The 18586-nt window shown below is 46.8% G+C and overlaps 1 long non-coding RNA gene and 1 pseudogene across 3 annotated transcripts in view; both read left to right on the top strand.

Annotated features, from left to right (window-relative positions):
- Positions 1–2230, top strand: part of ANTXRLP1 (ANTXR like pseudogene 1) — a 50584-nt pseudogene extending 48354 nt beyond the window's left edge. For both annotated transcript variants that reach the window (NR_103828.1, NR_103827.1), the window contains one exon: positions 1549–2230. The product of NR_103828.1 is annotated as an ANTXR like pseudogene 1, transcript variant 2 (transcript). The remainder of the gene's footprint in view (positions 1–1548) is intronic.
- A 14119-nt stretch (positions 2231–16349) lies between these two features.
- The window catches only part of LOC124902418 (uncharacterized), a 30001-nt gene continuing 27764 nt past the window's right edge, over positions 16350–18586 (top strand). The window contains exon 1 of the long non-coding RNA XR_007062137.1: positions 16350–16805. This is a non-coding gene — a long non-coding RNA (uncharacterized LOC124902418). The remainder of the gene's footprint in view (positions 16806–18586) is intronic.

Raw genomic sequence — 18586 nt, 5'->3', positions numbered from 1 at the left:
GCCCCTGTCACCTGCTTCTTTCACTCCTGCTCCTGATGCTTCCACGAAGCTGAGCCACATGAGCCAGTGAGCATCCCTCTGCCGCCCTCACTGCCTCAGCATCGCCCGTTCCATCAGGCCCCACTCCTGCCTGCTGCCTGCAGCCTACCCAGTGAACTCAGCTCGGAGACCAGGGCTGGGCCTGGGCAGAGGGGATGAGTGAGTCCCATGCCTTATGTGCAGGAAACGTGGGTCTGGGCTGTTAACAGCAAAGCCATTGTATTAGTCCACTAGGTGGCCAAAACAAAGTCCCACACACTGGGTGACAAAAAAACAGACATTTTTTTCTCAGAATTCTGCAGGCTGCAAGTCCAAGGTCAAGGTGTGGGGAGGGTCGTTTCCTCCGAGTCAGCCACCTTCCTCCTGTGTCCTCCCATGCTTTACCCTCTGTGCATGTCTGTTTCCTAAACTGTTCCTATAAGCACACCAGTCGTACTGGATTAGGGCCCACCCTAATGACTTTGTTTAATTTAACCTTTACAAATCCTCTCCAACCACAGTACAGCTGCATTCTGAGGAACCAGGGGTTGGGACTTTAATATATAAATTTGGGGAGGACACAATTCAGTGCATGCCTGTCTTTATCAGAAGCACTACCCTCTCTAAGTGGTAATTTCTAAAAGACAATGGGGCTCTGGGGAAAGACTCCAACATGTTATGAAGCCAAAAGGCCCCAGTTCCGGCTGGACTGCATCGTTATGGGTAGTTTGGGGGCCACAGCTGTCCAGAGTGAATGAGATTCCACACATCCTCCCTGCCCAGCACACCTGGGGGCTCCGCCATGGCTGCTCCTGCAGGATGAGCTCCAGGCATTTGATGCCATGCTGGGACAGGACCCTATGGCTCAGGCCAGCTTGCAATACCGGAGGGGACCTTGGAATCTCGTCATTTCCTCTGATGAGTGAGGAGCCAGGGTAGACCATGTGGGTGCCCTCATGGTTCTGGGGCAGTGACCCCCTGCTCATGATCCTTGTGGAGGTTCTGGGGCTCTAGGGACATCCAGGCCAGAATGCCCAGCAGTTCAGCTCATAAGTCCAAAGGTAACCTGGGAGTCTCAAACTCACGGATACAATTATTGCAACCAGAAATCCTGGTCCTTCCTTCCCTATATCCCTGCTTCTGTGGGTGGGTGGGGGCATCCCAGGAGGAAAACTCTTGCTCAGAGAACAGATGGCCCTGGAGGTGTTTGTTTGACAGCTGGGACTCCATGAAGGGGAGGGTGGCCCCAGCTCAGGCTGTCTCAGAAATGGGAAGGAACAAAGTCTGCAGAAGCTCTACCCTGGGGCCCAGGGGACAGCAGGCACAGGGGCTGAGAGGCATCTCCCATTTACCCTCTCCCCAGGGTCTTCCTGCCTTGGTGGCCTCAGACATCAGTGGCTCAGGGGCCTCCCTGAGGACTGGGATGAAGAAGAGAAGGGGGTGGTGACAGTCCATTTTTCCAGGAGACACAAGTGTTACTTTTGTTTACTAGGCAGATGTTACAAACTGACTTCAAAACAATGTTTGCAGACTCGTGGAACAAATACCACGGAGCAGCACCTAGCACAGAGGAAGGCCCCCTGCCCTGGGCATCTGTGGGAAACCAGGGCCCAAGTCTGCGGTGAGCTGGTGCAGAAACTCTGAGCTGAGGAGCTAACATTACACCCATCTGCAACTGAGAGAACCTGCCAGGCTCCAGCAAAACCAAACAGGACATTCTCCCCAGGAGACACCGTCCTCATCCAGGGGAACCAGGATTCTCATGGAAAATCATTTCCTACTGAAGACGAGGTCAGAGGAAAAACTCCCAGGTATCCCAAAGAGAGGCAGCAGATACAAGAAACAAGGAGATTCAAAGCCCAGAGAGTAAAGAGAATAGAGTGATCTAAAAGGAACATTGAAATAAGGGTGTATAAAATGTTCAAAAAAAGATAAAGGAATAAAACTATATGACAAGAACAGCTAATTATAACAAATGCAGAGTTTTAAAAGGACCGAAGTTCTAAAATGCATTAATGAAAAATGAAACACAACCAGAAAGTTCAAGACAAAAAGTGGAATAACTCCAAAGACAGATCTGAGCAGCATCTGCCCTGCAGCCCCACTGACCGAGATGGAAACCAGAAACAGGATGTTGTGTGCTGGGAGCAGATAAGGAGTGTCTAGCAGGGCAGCTCACTCCACCATCCTCAGCCCACTCCACCATGCTCAGCTCACCCCACCATCCTCAGCCCACTCCACCATCCTCAGCTCACCCCACCATCCTCAGCTCACTCCACCATCCTCAGCTCACCCCACCATCCTCAGCTCACCCCACCATCCTCAGCTCACCCCACCATCCTCAGCTCACTCCACCATCCTCAGCTCACCCCACCATCCTCAGCTCACCCCAGCATCCTCAGCTCATTCCAACAGCCTCAGCTCACTCCACCATCCTCAGCTCACTCCACCATCCTCAGCTCACCCCACCATCCTCAGCTCACTCCACCATCCTCAGCTCACCCCACCATCCTCAGCTCACCCCAGCATCCTCAGCTCATTCCAACAGCCTCAGCTCACTCCACCATCCTCAGCTCACCCCACCATCCTCAGCTCACCCCAGCATCCTCAGCTCACTCCAACAGCCTCAGCTCACTCCACCATCCTCAGCTCACTCCACCATCCTCAGCTCACTCCAGCATCCTCAGCTCACTCCAACAGCCTCAGCTCATTCCACCAGCCTCAGCTCACTCCACCATCCTTAGCTCACTCCAGCATCCTCAGCTCACTCCACCATCCTCAGCTCACCCCAGCATCCTCAGCTCACTCCAGCATCCTCAGCTCATTCCACCAGCCTCAGCTTACTCCACCATCCTCAGCTTACCCCACCATCCTCAGCTCACTCCAGCATCCTCAGCTCACTCCAGCATCCTCAGCTCACTCCAGCATCCTCAGCTCACTCCATCAGCCTCAGCTTACTCCACCAGCCTCAGCTCACTCTAGCATCTTCAGCTCACTCCACCATCTGCAGCAGCCAGAGGTTGAAGGAAAGACGGCAAAGCTGACACATGCACACTCACACACACACATGCACACATACAAACATATGCAATCACAAACACACACACATCAGCAAACACACACACACATACATAATACGCACACACATGCACATCGACACACAGGCAAACATACATCCCAAAGCACACGCACATAAACATATACACACAGGCAAACATATACGGTTTAAATTGGCTGACTTGCCCGGCCACAGAGTGAACACCTGTGGAGGAATCTGATAGCTGTCTGCTGTGGGGCACATTCAGGGGGCTAAGGCTCCAGGAGGGCTGGGGGACATTTCTGCCAGGCAGGCTGAGCAGGGTGGAGGCCTTCCCCTGTGGACAAGGCAGGACACATTCCTGGGCCTCTACAAGGGGAGTCAGAACAAGTTCATGTCAGAGACCAGGGAAGCCTTCACTTTACCTCCTCTAGAGCACTGGGTTGCTCAAAGCCTCTGACTGATACTCACGCTGGCGCTGGACAGCTTCTGTAGGTTAATTTCCCTTTTGCACCACAATGACTAATTCTAATCTCCCGGCCTCCACACTCACCACCTCCCCGACACCGGACCTAGAATCTCACCTCCAGCTAAACAGACACCTTCCCCACAACACTGGGAGGACTCCCACTCTTCTCCCACATGCCCTGGTTCCCTGACCTTTCCTCTGAGTACCCTGACAGAGAGGGCCTTCGCCTTTGTTTCACTTCCTAACGGAAGTTGGAGGTCGGAAGTCGGAAGTCGGAAGTCAGAAGTCGAGTCTCCAGTCAGGCCCTGGCTCCCACTCCCCTCCCTCATCTTTCCTGCCTGATCTCCTTTCCCTCTTTCTCCTGTGTCTTCACACTCTCCTCTCCAGGACTCCCAGAGTGCTCCCTCCTTGTCCTCTGGCCCTCACCCCTTCCAGTACAGCCACCACCCCAGCCCCTTGCCCCACCGCTGTTGCCCACAGGAGCTGTTTGCCTCCCTCCTACCCTCCAGGGCAACCCGTTGACGCCCAGCACCCTCCACATCCTGCAGTGGCCCAAAGTGGCCCCTGTCTGTGAATCTCACCAGCCACTGGTCAGACGTAGCCTGCGCTCTGCTGTGTCTTGCAAACCCCTGGCCCTGTCTTTCCCAGCGGAGTGCTCCCCTGGTTTTCTGAGTGTCTGCTCTTTGCCTTGGATGGCCTTGGCTTCTCTCTGGGCAGCTCTCAGGCACATCTGTGGCTTCACTATTACCCCTGGGATGATGCCTGAGGCCATGGCTCCACCCCCATCCTCCTCTTGAGTTCCAGAAGTTTCTCTCCAATTGCCTACTCAACAGCTCCCTGAGATGTCTGAGGTCCAGTGGTCCAGATGCAGAGATGAGGATGCCTGCAGCTGATCTCAGACCCTTTGGGCTCACTCACCAGAACACAGCCTGGCTAGGTACCCAGCACCCCACCCATACGCCTCTTCCGCCACCCTCCTTGTCCCCTGTGGAAACACGCTCACCAATGCATTATGCTTCTCCTGCTGTGAGCCTGTAGGTGCATCTCCTCTCTTTCTGGCTGACATTTATTCATTGAGGAATCAGCTGGTGCCCACTACTTAGGAGGAACAGGCTGGACACCATGCTCAGTCCCCAGGTACACACACCCCATGCACGTATGCCCTGGCCCTGCGTGCACATGCTTCATCCTTCTGCACATACTCCATCCTCATGTACACACACAGCATCCCTGTGCACACACTCCACCCTCATGCACACATGCTCCCTCCTGTGCACACATGCCTTGTCTCTTGCACCCACGCTCCATTCCAGTGCACACTCACCCTGTCCCATGCACTCACCCTGTCAGTGCAGAAGGGCCCTCAAGTTCTCCCTTACCTCACTTTCACTTCCCGCCATGTCCACCCCATGCCTCCACCCCCAACCTCCACCTGGCTAACTCCTATGATGCTTGTGATTCTCCAGGGCCCAGCGGAAGGTTCCTTCTTCACAGCAGCCTCCTCCAACACCCAGGTCCCAGAGTAGACGACACCACACCCTTTGTGCTCCAAACAGCATCCTCCTGTACTCTTCTCTCTGTGTTCACAGGACTGTGTTGATAGTCTGTGCTCCCCTCAAAGTCAGGGTCTCCATGGTCAGCATCTGACACTCAGCTCAGGGTCCAGAACAGGGAGTTCCTGTCACTTTGTGAGGCAGGAGTGGGACATGTGGCTGGGATCTTGGGAACCCACAGAAATGAACCCCGGCTAGGTGCCAAGCACCCAAGCACATGCCTCTTCCACCACTCACCTTGTGCGCTGTGTTCCCCCAGGGCCCTCAAGAGTGGGAGAAAGGGAAGGTTACAATGATTTCTCCATGGTGACCTAGCACTCAGTGCTCAGTCTCCCGGGCTGTCTCCAGCTCCAAAGCTGGTGCAGCTCAGTGGGGCTCAGGGGACTGTGTGGCTTCAATACCCTCTTTTGGTCTGTCTCAGTGGCACCATGGGGTCAAGCTTGACTGGGTAATCTGGAGGGGAGGATCCTTCTGGAAGGGACAGAAGCTCACAGCCAGGTCTGCCAGCTGCCTCAGTGCCCACTTGGAGTGAGGAAACACCACTCAGGAGGGGAAACAGGCTCAAGGCAGGACGTGGGCACAGGTTGGTGGATGAGGGGTGCCAGTGTGGGCGTGGGGACAACAGAACATGCCAGAGGCTCTTGGTGACAGGGGACGTGATGGATGATGATAAAATGGTTGGCTGATCCAAGGGGTGCCACAGGAGCAGGCGGGGGTGACTTGGGCCTCAGGGCTCTGGGCTGGAAGGATTTAAAATGCACCCAGCTGATCCCAAAGGCATCCGGGGTTCGGAACCACTGATGTGGAGTGGGAGGAAGGGCTGACCCAGGAGAGAGTCCTGGGGAACAGTTCCGGGAGGCAGAGGAGAGACCAGAAGGAATGGTGAGGGGCACTGGGGATCCCTGTAGCCAGGAGAGGAAGGAGAGTCAGACAGAATGTGGGTCATGGGCTGCAAGAGCTGGTGAGACAGGCCTGAGGAGGGGATGTGAGCACAGGCAGGGAAATGGCCACAGAGGGGCCACCCTCTCCCACAGCCTCACTGTGCCCCGTGGGCCTCAGCGGCTGTGTCTACTGCTCTTGGCAGCACTCCTTGGAGCGTGTCTCGGTCTCGGGGCTGGCATTTCTCTCTGGGCTCTGCCCGGGGCTCCCCACACTATGGCTCCTTTGAGGGAGCCCATCTCAGCTCACCTTCATAACTGGACTTTGGCCAGACCCTTCTGGAAGGGACCCACCCCCTCCCCCAAGACTCATTGTCCCCAGACACCCACACGTGGCTTGGTGTGGGCACGCCCCTATGTGCATGTGTGGGGAGTGGCTGAGCTTCTGAGAATGCCACCAGTGAGGGCACCTTTGTCCTGGCCCACAGGACAGGGCTCCCAGAAGGGTAGCGAGCCCGGGTGCCCAAAGGCCTGGAATGGGCCCTTCATCAGTCCCGGGGCACGGAGACAGCTTCCATCTTCCTCTCTGGAGGGCATCTCACAGCACCATGTGCAAGATGGCTCCCAGCTCTGGGGGCAGCTCTGGGCAGTGGCTATGTGCCCCGGGCATGGCTGCCTCCCCTGGCCCAGCTGGTCCAGCTAGTCCCTACAAACCCCAGCCCACACCTCCAGGAACAGCCTGGGGATGCTATGTGCTTAGAGCGAAGGGCACTGGACCAGAGGTCAGGACAATAAGTGCTTCGCATCACAGGACATTCTTGTCTGTTACCTCCAAGGTTGCACTGGATGAGAAAACAAATCACTCCCCACCCAAGATGTGATTCCCTCAGGGCTCCAGGAGCCATGGGGGTTCTGGGAGTCCCATGGCAGCCTTCCTGAGATGAAGGGGCTGGTCCTGGATGTAGGATGTGTTTGCTGAATGGTGGGAAGGACACAGCCAGTTAGGAGGCGGCATGGGGAGGGTGGTGCTGGGGGAACATTCCCGGCAGGGACCCCAGGGTGGGCAAATCCTGGAGTGGCAAAAGTTAACCTCTGCCCAGGAGGATTCCTCCTCCTCTTGGCAGCCAACATCTCCTGGGGGCCCACGGGAGAGCAGGAACCTGCAAGCCCAAGAGACCTGGGGGATCGCAACTGTACTTCCCACAAGAGGTGTGTTTTGGGCAAATTGTCTCAACCCTGGAGGCTCCGTTTCTTATTCTCATACACCGAACCCATCCCTACTTCTCGGGAGTGATTAAGAGGTGTCTAGACATGGCCATTCCACTGAAGGGAGGATGCTGTCACTCTGCGTCCTTTGCTGAGCTCCTCATTGTGTCAATTGTGTACAAGCTGCACAATAAATGGAAGAGACACAATCTTTTTGATGTGATCAAGGTCTAGTAAAAACAGTGGAGAAACCCTGTGTCCTCTAAAAATACAAAATTAGCTGGGCGTGATGGCTCATGCCTGTAATCCCAGCTACTCAGGAGGCTGAGGCAGGAGAGTCACTTGAACCTGGGAGGTGGATGTTGCAGTGAGCCGGGATCGTGACATTGCACTCCAGCCTGGGCAACAAGAGCAAAACTCCGTCTCAAAAAAAAAGGATGATGAAAATGTCTGGGCATGGTGGCTCACACCTCTAATCCCAACACTTTGGGAACCCAGATGGGAAGATTGCTTGAGTCCAGGAGTTCAAAACCAGCTTGGGCAACATAGTGAGACCTGTCTCTCCATATATATATATATATAATTAAATATATATATATATTTAATTATTTATTTATTTATTTTTGAGACAGGGTCTTGCTCTGTCACCCAGGCTAGAGTGCAGTGGCATGATCTCGACTCACTGCACCCTCCACCTCCTGGGCTCAAGCGATTCTCCTGCCTCAGCCTCTCAAGTAACTGGGATTACAGGCACCTGCCACCACGCCCAGCTAATTTTTGTATTTTTAGTAGAGACGGTGTTTCACCATGTTGGCCAGGATGGTCTCAAACTCCTGACCCCAAGTGATCTGCCCGCCTTGGCCTTCCAAAGTGCTGAGATTATGGGCGTGAGCCACCATGCCAGGCCAAAAAAAAATTTTTTTTAAACTTAGCTGGGCTACTCAGGAGGCCGAGAGAGGAGGATCCCTTGAACCCAGGAGTTTCAGGCTGCAGTGACCTGTGATTAGGCCACTGCACTCCAGCCTGGGCAACAGAGCAAGACACTGTCTCACGAAAAAATATTTTAAAAAAGAATGATGAAAATGTAATATGTCATTTGGGAACATGTCCTAATAATGTAATAACATGTATATGTAGAATAAGTTCATTTTTATAAAGCAAGCATATAATTGTATAAAAGTACAAAAAAATGGCCAGGCATGGTGGCTCATGCTCGTAATCCCAGCATTTTGGGAGGCCGAGGTGGGTGGATCACCAGAGGTCAGGAGTTCAAGACCAACTTGGTCTACTTAGTGAAACCTCGTCTCTACTAAAAATATAAAAAAATTAGCTGGGTGGGCATGGTGGCAGGTGCCTGTAATTCCGGCCACTTGGGAGGCTGAGGTGGGAGAGTTGCTTGAACCTAGGAGGCAGAGGATGCAGTGAGCTGAGATCGTAGCACTGGACTTTAGCCTGGGCGACAGAGTGAGACTCTGTCTCAAAAAAAAAAAAAGAGTAGAATAAACCTGGTATCATATATGTAGCACGCATATTACCAGTGATCATCTTTGTGATTCTGTGGGAATATGGGAAATCCTCATTTTCTACATTACATATTTACATGATTCTTGAACTGAAGAGAAAACCAATACCGATATATTTTTAATTGTGGTTGTGGAGGGCAGTACTAGCTTATTCAAGATTATTCCTAGTAAAGGGCCACTCAAAATTTACTGATTTGAGACCTTTGTTATCATATGATAATTGAGAGCATTTGGGAACTTTTACAGCAAGTTGACATTGCCCAGACTTCCAGAAGTGTCATTAGTAGATGGTTCTTGTTGAACAGGGTATAGACCGCCTTGGGTTACTGAACTTGCATGGCTAGTTGCATGTAAACTAGTCACATGCAGTAAAACCATGTACTACACCAGGGGCAGTGGCTCAGACCTGTAATCCCAGCACTTTAGGAGGTCGAGGCGGGCAGATCATCTGAGGTCAGGAGTTCAAGACCACCCTGGCCAACATGGTGAAAACCCGTTTCTACTAAAAATACAAAAATTAGCCAGGTGTGGTGGCATATGCCTGTAATTCCAGCTACTTGGGAGGCTGAGGTGGGAGAATCGCTTGAACCTGGGAGGCAGAGGTTTCAGTGAGCCGAGATTGTGTCACTGCACTCCAGGCTGGGTGACAGAGAGAGCCTCCGTCTCAAACAAAACAAAACAAAACAAAAGAGGGATGCCAAATCAAACATAAAGTTACAGATATCTATCATAGGATAGCCGGGCACGGTGGCTCATGCCTGTAATCCCAGCACTTTGGGAGGCCGAGGCAGGCGGATCTTGGGGTCAGGAGATCAAGACCATCCTGCCCAACATGGTGAAACCCCGTCTCTACTAAAAATACAAAAATTAGCCAGGTGTGGTGGTGGGCACCTGTAGTCCCAGCTACTCAGGAGACTAAGGCAGAAGAATCACTTGAACCCGGGAGGTGGAGGTTGCAGTGAGCCGAAACTGCGCCACTGCACTCCAGCCTGGGCAACAAGAGCGAAAACTCTGTCTCAGAAAAAAAAAAAAAAAAAAGAAATCTGTCATAGGATTATATGAAGAGACCAATTTTATTTATGTAGGAAATACCTGTCTTTTGACTAGATCTCTGAGCTCTGGGCAGAGCCCACACTGAATCCTGAATCTCCCAAAAGGGAGAATTATTATGAGGCTAGACCATGTGATGCTTTTACAGTGCACTTAAAATTTTTTTTTAAACGAAGACACTTCTAATGTGTAAACTACACTCTTCCTTAAAAACCAGAGGAGGCTTTGGTGCAACAACTCTTTTAGTCAATAAGTCAGGTAACACAATACAAAAGCAGGCAATTTAAGAGCTGAGATGAACTTATCTGCTTACACTCTTGGGGTTTCATAAGGAAAAACAGGTTTCTCCCCAAAAAGGAGTCTGGTGCCTTCTCTGCTTTCTTGAAGGAAAGCCAGGCTATTATAAACTATAATAGTTTAGGTCCCTCAAGCAGCAGAGGGTGCAAGAGAAAGGAGAGGCAGCAGAAGTAAATAAAACAAAACAAAACAAAACAAAAAACAGAACTCAGTCAACTGAGAAAAAAAAATCTTTAACTAAAAAAAAAAAAAAGAGAGACAAGGTCCTAGGAGAAAAAAAAAAATATGTGAAGGCCTTTTCAATACAAACACACACACATACACACACACACACACACACACATGCACAAACACATACACACACACATCTTGGATGTTAGCTTTTAGTTAAGCTGACTTTTAATCATTGAGCTCCTTTAAAAAAATCTTTTAAAATCTCATTACCATAATTCAGCTAGAACAAATTGCTGCTATTTCAGAAGTACCAAGTATCAAACCGAAAATGGCTTGATTTAGGAACCACACCCAAGCTGTCGTGGTGGAAAAAAAGAAGCCAGAGCCCTTAGCTATGGAACTGCAGTATGGAGTGACAGCCATTGCTCTTTCAGTTTGGCCTGGCTAGCAAAAAGGTGGCCTTGTTATGTAAATAAAGCCCCTTAAGTAGTCAAAGTAAAAAATCTTCCCTGTTTTTTTTTTTCCCCTTTTTTGGCTGTTTTTCTCCCCCACCACAGTGTGGAAATTTAGCCACTTCAGAGGTCTTGTTCCCCATAATTTGGAAGTTTCCTTTGGATTTGATCAAGTCGGATAGAGTTGATCAATCCCAATGGCAAAAAGACTGAAACAACAACAAAAACAGAAACAAACAAACAACAACAACAAAAACAATTAAGCAAAACAAAGATGGCACAACTTATCCAACTACTGAGTGCTCTAATGGTAAAGAGAAATTACAACCAGCTGGTTGTTAATCTTAACTTTAGCCAAGACAACCCCCAGTTTAGTTACCCATCCTTAGGTAAGGGATGGGTCTCAGGCTGAAGACTGCTCTTTACCATCCTAGTGTAGCAGGACGAGCTGCAGACAAAACTCCTCAGACACCGAATTAAAGAAGGAAGGGGTTTATTTGGCCGGGGGCATCGGCAAGACTCCTGTCTCAAGAGCCGAGCTCCCCAAGTGAGCAATTCTTGTCCCTTTTAAGGGCTCACAACTCTAAGAGGTGCGTGTGAGAGGGTCATGATTGATTGAGCAAGCAGGGGGTATGTGACTGGGGGCTGCATGCACCAGTAATTAGATTGGAACAAAACACGATAGGGATTTTCACAGTGCATTTCTATACAATGCCTGTAATCTATAGATAACATAACCGATTAGGTCAGGGGTCGATCTTTAACTACCAAGCCCAGGGTGCGGCGCCAGGCTGTCTGCCTGTGGATTTCATTTCTGCCTTTTAGTTTTTACTTCTTTCTTTGGAGGCAAAAATTGGGCATAAGACGATATGAGGGGTGGTCTCCTCCCTTACTAGAAGAAGGAAGAAACTCACATTTGTCTTCCCCGTTGGAAGCAAGCTCAAACTCCATAAAGGAGTTACCTGCATTTCATCGTCATCAAAGCAGGAAAAACTTGCCTTTCTTGCGTTGGAAGATAGTAAAACTCCAAAAAAAAGGAGTTGTACTGCAAAATAAACTTTAGATCTTGACCAAGTTTTGAAAGATCAGTGATTCTCTGGAGGGGGTGCTTCCAGGCCTGTCTCGGCAAATTGTTCTATTGGTTTGAGCCATAAAGATAGTTCAAGCTGGTACCGAGCACTGATAGGAGATTTGTCAAAGGTCAGGGGAGCCTCCACCCAGAATCCCTTCATGGTTGCCAAAATGTGAGCCTTGAATATCTGAGAAGGGTCTCAGTTAATTTAGGAAGTTTATTTTGCCAAGGTTGAGGAGGCACACCTGTGACACAGCCTCAGGAGGTCCTGATGACACGTGCCCAAGGTAGTCAGGGCACAGCTTGGTTTTATACATTTTAGGGAGACATGAGACATCAATCAATATATGGAAGATATACATTGGTTCTGCCAAGAAAGGTGGGACAGCACAAGCAGTGAGAAGGCTGCCAGGTCACAGGTAGGTGAGTGACAAGTGGCATTCTTCTGAGTTTCTGATTAGCCTTTCCAAAGGAGGCAATCCGATATGCATTTATCTCAGTGAATGGAGGGATGACTTTGAATAGAATTGGAGGCAGGTTTGCCCTAACCCTTTTCCAGCTTGACTTTTCCCTTTAGCTTAGTGATTTTGGGGCCCCAAGATTTATTTTCCATTCAGTGTGTGTGTGTGTGTGTGTGTGTATGTGTGTACATATATACACACACACAAATAAATAAAATGAAAAATCTCATTAAGAACAGCAAGCAGTATGGTATTTTTAACTTGCCCTATTCTATTCTCATCCTCTCCTCGCTGGCTCCACTGCAGCCTTGAAAATTAACAGCCCATAATTACAGTGAAGACCAATAGCCTGGCAGCCACTGGAAAGACAGAATGGGGCTGGATTTCCTTCAAAGCCTCATTCCCAGAGAACTGTCATTTGACTTGGCTGGTGGTTTTCAGAAACATCCCACTGCCAGGATGTCTTTTTCTGTCCTAAGAGCTCACTTAACGAAAAAGCCTTTTCCTTAATGGCATTTGTCAAAAACATTTAAAGGCCGTTATTCAAGTTGGTGCCTGTATGAGGTTGTAGATAACATTTTGGGCAGACAATAGGCTAACTAAAAAGCTTTAAAAGTAAAACAGGAGAATGAGATGTCCATAAGGGCTTTGAAAATTCCAACAGAATGATTCCTAGAAATCTATGAGGCTACTCCCAAGTGTAGGCCTGCGTACATGTTCAGTAAAGACCTGGGAAGGCTCAAAGCTCTCACCTCTGACTGGCCTTGAGGCTCTGGGCAAGCAGGAAGTGAAGGCTAAGGCAGAGATGTAAACTGCCTGGCTGAGTGTTGAAGAGTAGTCCCAGACTACAAAATTATTTCAGAAAGCTCATTAGACACTGAACAACAATAACAGCAGCAACAACAGCAACAACAAATAGGGGGTATAGAATCTGATTTCCAGAGTTGTCACATTAGATCGGGGTCCCCAACCCTGTGGGCCATGGACTAGGTCCATGGCCTGGTGAGGAACTGGGCCACACAGCAGTAGGAGCAGTGAGTAAGCAAGCGAAGCTTGATCTGAATTTACAGCTATTCCCCATCACTTGCATTACTGCCTGAGCTTTGCCTGCTGTCAGATCAATGGTGGTATTAGATTCTCATAGGAGCACCAATCTTAATGTGAACTGAACATGTGAAGGGTCTAGGCTGCACGCTCCTTATGAGAATCTGATGTCTGATGATCTAATGCAATCCCCCTGCAGTGTGTGCATCTGTCACTGTCTCCCATCATTCCCAGATGGGACCTCTAGTTGCAGAAAAACAAGCTCAGGGTTCCCACTGATTCTACATTATGGTGAGGTGTATAATTATTATATATTACAATGTAATAATAATAGAAATAAAGTGCACAATAAATGTAATGTGCCTGTGCCGGGCATGGTTGCTCACACTTGTAATCCCAGCACTTTGGAAGACCAAGGCAGGTGGATCACCTGAGGTCAGGAGTTTGAGACCAGCCTAGCCAACGTGGTGAAACCCCATCTCTACTGAAAATACAAAACTTAGCCAGGTGTGGTGGCAGGTGCCTGTAATCCCAGTTACTTGGGAGGCTGAGGCAGGAGAATTGCTTGAACCTGGGAGGCGGAGATTGCAGTGAGCCTAGATTGCGCCACTGCACTCCAGCCTGGGTGACAAGAGTGAGATTTCATCTCAAAAATAATAATAATATAAATAAATAAATAAATGTAGTGTGCTTGAATCATCCCAAAACCATCTTCCCTACACCACGGTCCATGAAAAAACTGTCTTCCATGAAACTGGTCCCTAGTGCCAACAAGGTTATGATGAACTAATTTACACTCCTACCAACATAGACCAGGTGTTCCAATATTGGAGGATAAGAGAAGATGGATGTCCCAGCTCAAGAAGACAGATTAAATTCACCCTTCCTCTGCCTTTTTGTTTTATTTGGGCTCTGAAGAGATTGAAGGATGCCCATAGATATTGGTGAGGATGATCCTCTTCACTCAGCCTACCTATTCAAATGCTAATTTCTCTGGAAACACAGACATACTCAGAAATAATGTTTTATCAGCCATGTGGGCAACCCTTAGCCCAGTAAAACTGACACATGAAATTAATCATCACAGGGAGGTCTGGGACAATTCACGTCTTTGTTAATTTAAATAGACACATGAAGAAATTATTTTTCCTCTATCTTTTTTCCTTCTTCTTTCTCTTTCTTTCTTTCTCTCTTTCTCTTTCTTTTTGTTTTTAACTAAAGGACATTTTGTAAGCACATGAAACCAGAGAATTGCAGTAGCCATATGGCTACTATGAGGTGAGAAAAAAGAAAGTTTTTGCATCCTGCAGATCTGCCCCATCTATGGTCTTTGTGTTAACTGAGACGACAAATACGTTACTACCTAAGCTTCCTTTAGTAACGTCTTCCACTACCTTTAGGTTAAAACATTTTAAAAGATAAAATTAAAACTATAAAATGTTGTACTTTTAGAGTGGAATAAAGTTGGCTTCCATAAGCTCAGATGTGAATTTTACACTGATTCTGGCCAAATTTTTCAGATAATTTTAGAAAACTGTCTAAAAATACTCTGTAAATCTAGTGTTAATTATTTGACATTACTTTTTCAAATGTTATTAATATTATAGTGTTAGATGAAGAAAGTGTATAATCACTAGGGATGAGTTTAATTTTCTTAAGAAAGACAGATATTGGGATCCTCTAATAATACATTAAATGCCCACTAAAGTCAGAGGTATGTATTTGATAATGTACCTTACTATATTCTTGTGGACAAGAAGGAGCAATATGGATTACGTAATGGAATAATTTGGTAAATTATTTAATGGTTAATAGTTACATATTACTAACAAGTAAAATGGTTTTAACCGGAAAAATTCATTTTTGTTTATATTCTGGTAACATTTTCATCAGTGTTTTAGACATGTTCATCTGTCAAACACATGAAAATTGAAACAACTCTAAGGATTAGCTAATAGGTTGAATGATAAAATAAAAACCTATATAGATGTCTGTGTATTATAATTATGAAACAGCTTTTAGTCAATAAAACTAAATAGGAAAGATCCTTAAATATTACATATTCAACAATAAACCACACACATGTAATGACAATGCTAGGATGAGAGACATATGTTTTAAAAAGCAAGATTTTACTACAACAAGCAGTGTTTAGCTAGCCAGGCTGTAAACCAAGGGTTGGCAAAGTATGGCCTGCAAGCCATATCCAGCCAATAGACTGGTTTTGTAAATAAAGTTTTATTGCAGCATGGACACACTCATTCATTTGTGTATCGTCTATAAATGCTTTCTCACTGCAACAGCAGAGTTGAACAGTTGTATAGAGATTATATGGCCCACAAAACCTAAGATCTTAGCCTCTTTCCCTTTACAGTAAAGGTTTATTAATCCTGCCTAAAAACAATTTAGCGGAATAATTTGGCTACAAGGAAAATAATGATTTTCTCTTATAAGTTTAATGTCTGGACAAGGTTAATGAGAGCTATGTTTTTCTCCAGGTAGAGTATCCTGGACGTGCAGTTTTTTTTGAAAAAAAATGCATCACATTTTTGAGAGTCTGTCACTTGAAGGCATGGTTTAGTCTAATCTTGGTTTATCTCAAATGTAAGTTCAGAAATTGTGGATGTTACAGCAAGACATAATTTGACTCTGAATCAGCAAGTACTTTCAAATATTCAGAACTATCTGGAAGTGAAAACAGCTTCCTCTGTAGACAGACAGCAAGTTTCTTATCCCAGAACCCTGTAGATAGACCATCTGTGAAAGTTATAATCAGGAGATTCACAAATGTGATAATGATGACACAGTCACATTGACAATGAGGCTTTTAGTCATACAGATTAAATATGTACTCTATTGTGCAAACCTCCTAGTAATTGAGAATAAACTTAATCTTGGGCTACAAGTAGGTACAAAGTATTCCCAGTTAGATTTTACATGTATACATTTTGAAACTATTACTTTTTTAAAAATAAAGCAATGACTTTTTTAAATTATTTATTTGTTTATTTATTATTTATTTATTTATTTTTAAGGAGTCTCACTCTGTCACCCAGGTTGGAGTGCAGTGGCGTGATCTCGGCTCACTGCAACCTCTGCCTCCGCGGTTCAAGCAATTCTCCTGCCTCAGCCTCCGGGGTAGCTGGGACCACAGGCATGTGCCATCATGGCGTCCTTGGTGTTACCTAAAAATAAAGCCAAGGGTGATCAGAAGGTAATCACCTCCTGGTCATGCTCCCACTGGTCACCAGTGTCCGCGGGGCGACCCCACATTGTGATCAGAGCAGGCCTGTGGCTGCGCTCAAGGCGGGAGCGTTCATAGCTTTCCTAGCGGGGGCCCTGCGGGACGCCCAGGCCGCGCTTCTTTCCCTTGCTCACCTGGACCTGAAGTGATGGGGGAGGTGTAACAATGCAGTGGGAATGCCGAAGTGTGTCTCAGCCGTGCCTTTCACATTCCAAACAATGCAAAAGCTTGAAGAAAACCTCAGCAGTTGAAACCGTGATGCAGTTCAGCAAAGAAGTAGCTCCTGTCCTGGTAAAACAGTGAAGTTCTCACGGACGACCTCATTGAGTAAGTTGTGAAGCTTGTTGACTTGATCAGAATGATCAGCCAGCATACATGTTCTAATACGCTGATTTGTCACTGATAGGAGCAGCTGCAAAGTGGAAGAACAGGCCTTTAGTCATAGTTTGTTCACTTGGTAGCACAAGTTGGTTGTGGATGCAAGAGTGTGGCCAAAGTCAAGAAAAGCTTCCATGAGAATCGCTTACTTATGTGGAATTTACAAATAAAAAGTAGTGGTATATTATTTGTAAATTGTAGGCTACACATGTATCTAAAATTTACTGCACACACGTGTGTTATCTTGGGTGGTTGGGTTAGTGTGTTCTTGAGAATGTCAGGAAGATTTATTTTGGATTTTGGAGGGTGTGAGATTTGTGGGGGTGGTTTTGTGTATGTGAAAATGTGTTTATATGAATTCTTAGTTTGGAATTTGATATGTATTTAATTGGTGAGAATCTAATATGTATTCACGTGTGTGGGTTGGTTGTGTCTGTGTGGAGATTGCAGATTAAAGAAGGTCATAACTGGGCTGGGCAGTATTGTGGAACTGTATGTGTATTTGGGGATATGAGGTGGCATGTTTGCATATTTGTGGCGTGTTAGTTAATCACGGGTATATTTAGGGCATGTAGACAACTACATGAGTATTGAGTTTGTGTGTGCATTTAAGGGCGTGGCAGTTTAGATGAAGGTTTTGTGGAGCTATGTGCTTCTGTTTTGCAGTAAGTGGTTATTAGGGTTATATATTCTGGGAATTTAGTATGTGTGTGTCTGATAGAGAGATGGGGTTCTCTTTTTATACAGGAGAGTGGGAGAGTTGAATTTATATGTATTAGAGGTATGTGATATGGTTATTGGTTAGTACTTGGCAATGTGGGAGCTGGTTCATACTAGATTGGGATAATTTGGGATTGGGAAGTGTTTTTATGGGTATTTATAAATGATATGCTGGAGATATTTCCATGCATCTTGGGTGTATATGCTGGTTTGTGTGTATATTTATCAGCAGATAGACGAATTATCTAAGTCTATTTATAGAATACGGGATTGTTAGTATTTAAAGTGTATTTCTTTGGAGAATGCTAGGATGTTCGTACATGTGTTTGGGCATGTTTAGGGGATGAGGTGAGGAGGTTGTATTCTGGAGATGCAGCATATTGATTGGATAGTGTTTCGGGGGATTTATACACTCAGGGATTGGGGATATTTTTGTGAGTTTTTATGTGCCCATGGGTATATGAAAGTTGTGTGCGTATATTAGAGTATTATTGGTGTTTTTGTGGGGTTTTTTTTGCATTGTATGGGTTTTATCTGGGAGGGTGGGGTGTGTATTCATGGGTAGTTTGCGAGTGTGTATATGAGGGGTTTTGGGTATATTAAGACTTAGTGGTCCTCTGTGTCTGTTGTGAAGTGAAATACTCGCAGAATTTGGTGTTGCCACTCATATGTGTGTTCTCAGAGTTCGTGAGGTGGACTTATATGTATTTGATAAAAATAGTTTGTGGTTCTTTGTGTATTTGAGTTTATGTGGCTTCTGTATTTTGTATTCTGGGAGATGTGGGAGGTTCAGTGCATGTCTTTGGAAACAGAGAGGCTGTGTAGGTTGTGTTTGCATTCAAGAATCATGGATTCCTGTATTTCAGAGCTGTGGGATTGTATGTGATTCTTTTTCTGGGTGATGCATGACACAAGTGTTGTATACCTTGTGATTTTTTGGGGGGCCTATGCCTATAGGATTTTCATTATGTACTGTTAACAAATCTACTGAAAAGGATTTTCTTAAAAAA

Source organism: Homo sapiens, chromosome 10 (assembly GCF_000001405.40).
Source record: "Homo sapiens chromosome 10, GRCh38.p14 Primary Assembly".
NCBI lineage: Eukaryota > Metazoa > Chordata > Mammalia > Primates > Hominidae > Homo > Homo sapiens.
The sequence above is the reverse complement of the archived record's forward strand: the minus strand, read 5'-3'. Positions and strand labels throughout refer to the sequence as shown.